This window comes from Homo sapiens, chromosome 13 (assembly GCF_000001405.40).
Source record: "Homo sapiens chromosome 13, GRCh38.p14 Primary Assembly".
In the NCBI taxonomy this organism is placed as follows: Eukaryota; Metazoa; Chordata; class Mammalia; order Primates; family Hominidae; genus Homo; species Homo sapiens.
The window spans coordinates 22,640,184-22,645,781 of record NC_000013.11 but is presented as its reverse complement, the minus strand read 5'-3'; the positions used below and the strand labels follow the sequence as shown (position 1 = coordinate 22,645,781).

General features: G+C 45.0%; 1 annotated feature.

Moving 5' to 3' along the window:
- Positions 1,099–1,599: an enhancer, noted in NCBI's record as "H3K4me1 hESC enhancer chr13:23218322-23218822 (GRCh37/hg19 assembly coordinates)". NCBI's record gives its function as "activates a minimal SCP1, AML or CMV promoter by ChIP-STARR-seq in naive H9 embryonic stem cells {active_cell/tissue: H9 hESC(naive)}" and the evidence as "EXISTENCE:reporter gene assay evidence [ECO:0000049][PMID:30033119]".

The following is a 5,598-nucleotide window of genomic DNA, read 5'->3' as shown; positions in this document are numbered from 1 at the left end:
GAAGACACAGGGAGAAGATGACCATCTTGAGCATTTTGTATATAAGCTAAGGAGAGAGACTTTAGAAGAAACAAACCCCGCTGACACCTTGACCTCGGACTTCTAGCCTCCAGAACTGTGAGAAAATAAATTACTACTGTGTAATCTGCCTAGTCTGTGGTACTTTGTTATGGCAGCCCTAGCAAACTATCTACTAATACTAAACTCCATTTCTTTTTTTTTTTGAAATCTACATAAAAAGATTATAAAACCAACATATGTATTTCTTTGCCTTTATTTTTTTGTTGGCTATCATCTCTGTATATGTATATGCATCCGTGTGCGTGGATGATAAGTTAAACTTTATATAATGCTTACCTGTGTCTGTGTTATGAGGAATATCTGAGGCTAATGTGTTGAGCTCTAACCCTCTCTTGTGGAGATCTGGCTGTGAACATCACTGTGACGAGCTACACTCCCAGGAGTGGCAGAGAGCCCGAGCATGCTGGATAACTATGAAGAAAGGCATTATCCAAGTGCAATAGGCATTGAGCATGCTTTGCAGAATGCAGAGTTCTATTTTGTAGTCAGCTAGTCTTCCAAGCATAGACATAGCTTTCTTGAGGATAAGGTAACTTTGGTGGAGCGTTTGAGATGGATAAATTGGACTTGGCAATGTGAAACTCTGAATTCACTAGCAATCATCCAGAAAGCTTTGTTGGCAACATTATGCACGGCCCTGAAATGCACAAACTTGGCTGAGAAAGAAAAACCTTAAAACAAATGCTATGCAGCAAAGATACTGGTTTCAGCCACAGTTAAGCTCTTTTCTCTTCTATATGAGACCATTGCACCATGCTTCCGATATGGAAGGGAAGTGCTGGGAAGGGAAGGGCGGGGTGCCTTTAAATGACAGGGAACAGGGGACGTGCTGGGTAGAGGAAGGCCATGGTCCCTGGCTAGGGCTCCACCCTCATGGACCTAGGTGAGGACAGGCATTTTTGTTTCATTTCCCAAGACCGCCCTGGCCTGCCACGCCCCCATCCTGGGCCTATAAAACTGCCTGAGACCCTAGCAGGCAGACACACAAGCTGCTGGACGTCGAGAGGAGCAGATAGGCAGAGGAACACACGGGTGGCTGGATGTCGAGAGGAATACAGTAACAGGCACCTGCATGCCGGCAGGCCACCGATTTGCAGAACAACAACGTGGAGTTTGGCTGCGGCAGTGAGAGGACAGCCCAGGCTGCTCAGCTGCCGGGATCCAGGAGAAACCTTCCCACTCCATCCCCTTTTGGCTTCCGCCATGTGATATCTCCACTCAATACAACCTTGTGCTCATTCTCCAAGCCCATGATGTGATCTGCTTCTGGTACACCAAGGCAAGAACCCTGGGATGCACAAAGCCCTCTGTCCTTGTGATAAGGCAGGGGTCTAATTGAGCTAACACGAGCTGTGTATACCTAGCTAAACTAAAAGAGTACCCTGTAACACATTCCCCCTGGGGCTTCCGGAGCTGTTAACATTCACCCCTAGACACTGCCCTGGGGTTGGAGCCCCACAGCCTGCCCGCCTGTATGCTGCCCTAGAGGTCTGAGCCTCGGGGCACTGAAAAAGCGAGCCACTCCGCTGCCCCATAGCAAGACCCGCCATGGGGATAAAGGAATTTTTCCTGTTTCAACTGGGGACTTCGCCTGAGATCCTGGAAGGTGAGTGTGAACGAATGCGAAACTGTCGGGTCTGTCTCTCTTCCAAAACCCTGCCACCTCTCTGTTTCCTGCAGGTACAAGGCTCTGCTTCCTTTCACAGCTTCAAAAACTCCACCCTAAGCTTGCAGTGAGCCCAGATCGCGCGACTGCACTCCAGCCTGGGCGACAGAGCAAGACTGCGTCTCAAAAAAAAAAAAAAAAAAAACCACAAAAAACCAGAAACCAAAACCAAAAAAACAAAACAAAAACCCTCCACCCTAATGAGGCCGGTCGAGACCTCCCAGACTCTGGGGGACAAGGGAACTTCTCCTGTTTGACGTCCTTGGATGGGCATAGGGTAGAGATGGAGGCTGTGAGACTCCAAGGTGTTCCGACTGGGTGACTTATTTGTGGTGCCAGTAACTGTCTGATTCCTGTCTTTCTTACATGAAAAAAGTCATTGAAAATGCAGCAAGTTTCCTACAGTGTATCAGGGTTTGCGTCTCTGCTGTGTTCCTCACTCATTATCTCTAAGAGAGTCTTGGAAAACTGTGTACAGCTGTAGATAATCTCCAGATTAATTTACCAATGTGGAGAAACAGCAGTGAGACCTGCCAGGCAAGAAAGTGCTTCCGTCAGGTCAATATTGGTAGAGTTAGTGTAGAGGTTAAATTGGAATGAATACAATTCAGCCATGGCTTAATTTAGATTTTCATGCTTTGAAAAAAGCATGTTATTAAAATCCTTTTACTACCTAGACATTCTTCTCCGAATAAGAGTTGCTGTCTTTGACTCCAAATATAATCCAGGACTTGCCAGTTCCTTCACCACTGTCCATTTTCTTTGCTTCATGACTAGTAGTTTAGAACGTTCCAGGGCCTCTCAAGCCACCTGGATCCAGTGACTTGGGCTATGACTGACATTTGGCTCCTTATTCCCCAGTGGCTCCCTGTGGTTTCTTCTATGAATTCTGAGTTCCTCCTCCTGTTTTTCATGCCCGTGCATGGAAGGCCCCTTAGACAACTGCTTACTCTCCTCTCCAGCCTGCTTCCCATTTGCTATTCACTATGGTTCCATGTATCTCACCATAGTCATCCCTGCCCCTTGCTTTTAGGAACCCTAAACACTTTACCCAAGGGTCTTCCCCCTTCTTTATTTCCTTTGGTCCTTGCTATGACTTGTCCCCAGTGAGATCCTCCCAGTCCCAGCACCCTTCCCTTGCTTAGGTTCAAGTGTTGTGCTTCACTGTTGGATGTGTTCCTGCTGGTCCACGTCTGTCGTCACCGTGTCTCTGCACCTTGTAGTTAAGAGTTGGCTTTGAAACAGTCAGACATGGGTTTGAAGCCCAGCACCACAACTCCGAGTGCTGTGCACTTTGGAGAGTTGCTCCAACACCCTCAGCTTCTTTATGGGTAACGTGGAAGAAATGACCATCCCAAAGAATGCATTCAGGGGCCCAGGGGCACAGGGCCGTGAACTTGGAAGGACTCCTTGCTTGAAATTAAAGCCTCTGTGGTTCCCGTCTTGAAATTTTAATAAATTTAACTTTCGTATTTGCATTCTGTGGAGTCCAGTGGGACGACTGAGTGTGGGGAGTGGGCACAACCTGGGGCCTCAGCTCACACAGGTTTTTTCCTTGGCTTCCTTCATCTCCCCAGGACTGGTTTCCAGCTATCTGCCTGCCCACCTCCCCCACACCCTCCATGGTCAACCCAGGGCACGCTGGGCCTCCCCTTTCCTGGTCTGCACAGGGCCCCAGGGACCGCTGCTGCAGCTACACCCACGGCAGCTGGCAGTGCCATTGTCCATTCAGCAGGAGACTCAGTGGGGCTGTTCCAGGTGCCCGCCCCAGCGCACACTGGCGTGGATGTTGCCACACTCTTAGGGGCTGGCTGTCCACCATGCTTGGGGCTGCATGTCCCTGGGCAGGGGGCATGCACGTGCATTTATCTGGTGCCAGCGAGGGGTGGGGCACCAGCTGGGGGCCTGCCCCTGGACACCTGTGAGGATCTGCACTTACCCAGTGAGTGCCCTGTGCATAAGAGTGTGCAATATCAAAATAGCAAGCAGAAAACACCAGGAATGGTTGAGGGGACATGGAAGGGCTAAGGTTTTGTGCTTCAGTACCATTAAATAAGGCAGTTTTTCTTGCCTTTTTTTTTTTTTTTTTTTTTTTTTTAGCAAGGGATCCCACATTTTGGCCTACAAATTATAGAGCAGGTCTTGTGTAGAATTAGTTTGGGAATTAAAGCAAGTAACTCATGCTAAGCACGTGGAAAAAACTCTATGAAAGGCCATTTGTGTTTTTATGAATGAATGTGTAAGCTCCCCAACTATACTGTGATTTCCTTGAAAGCCAGGGTTATGATGCCTACCAATATTCCTGCTTCCAACTTGTCTAGGCCAGAGCTGTTGTGCTACAGTTATAGTAAAAGTAAAAAATGCTTTGTCAGAAGTTGTTAAACTAAAGCCAGTGGGGGGATTTCATGAGAGCTCAGAGCTGCCTGAAATAGCAAAATTGTGTGTGATTTTGCAGACACCTTTCCCCTCCACAATCTATACATTTCATATTCTTAAAGGGGCTTATCACTTCAAAAAGATTAAGGATCACTGCATTTAAGCATTAAGAAAGAACACATGCCAGATCACTGGAACCAAAGAGAGAGCGGTCACTTGAGCACGTCATGTCTTTCCATGCTCAGGAAGGGCTGAGGAGTAGAGCTTCCCAAGCAGGTGCCTTTAATTATCCAGAAACACATGACTGGGATGAAATTTAGTTCATCATTTCCTAGATACTCAAATAATTCCCATTTTTAAAAAATATATTATTTGGCTCTTAATCTTATTTATCTGAAATTCCTTTGTCCGACATCCTATGTAAAACACATATTCCAGCATTCATTTTCCTGTGGATGGGTCTACAGCAGAAAACGGGGTTATATACCAGGTGTTACCAACCTTCTCTCCAATTAGATGGCACCACTCTTGAGAAGCTAGAAGGAGAGACCTGTGGCCATGATCCACAATTGTAAGTATCATTAACATTAACATTGAAATGAGCATTTCAACAACCATGTCCACATTTTTTAACTTTTGCTAGAAATAACACACATTTTTATGTGGTAAAAAAAACAAGGTAGTATCATTTAAGAAACATGGTTATTGTAATTACACCATCACGGACCATAAATGAATCATAAACTAACCACATTTGATGTGCCTAGTAAAATGTCAAAGTTTCTTTTTAAAAAGTTTGTATAGAATTGCAATCCAGAAGTTCTGTGACTATTGAGGAAAGACGGTGGAATCATGTAAAAGAAACAAGTTTGGTACATACTCAATTTTGATAAAAAATATTGTTATTATTATTTTCCATCATGTTGCAAGAAGTGGACCTGTAATCTACCAATGACCGTGCCTTATTTCCTGCATGGTTAACAGTTCTGTTACATTTCTGATCACTGCAAGAATTGTGTTAGCCTCTGGGATATTTGGAAGTTATGTGGGAAGTTGACGTTTGCTCTCATTTACTGTACTTTCTATACAATGCCTATTCTGAAGAGAAATCAAGTACTTTTTTGGTCCTCAAATAGCTGAAGACCTAAGGTGAGAGTCTGAAGAGTGGAATGATAAATGAAGCTCAGTGGTTCATTCCAGGCTGTACTTCTTTGCTCACTTAGTAGCCTTTGCATAGAAGTTTTGAGAAAATTCCTGGATATCACCTCTAAGTTCAGATTCTAATCCAAGATTTCATATGTGTTTGGTTCTCTCCAAATAACCTTGTGACCCTGAGTCATTTGGAGAGAAGCAAACACATATGAAAAGAGAAGCAAGCTACCCAACCAAAAAAATTTAAAAATAGAATTGATGAAGAGCAACAGTGTTTTGCTTTGAAAAAGACATACAACCAAGGATAGTCATAGAATTTCTGA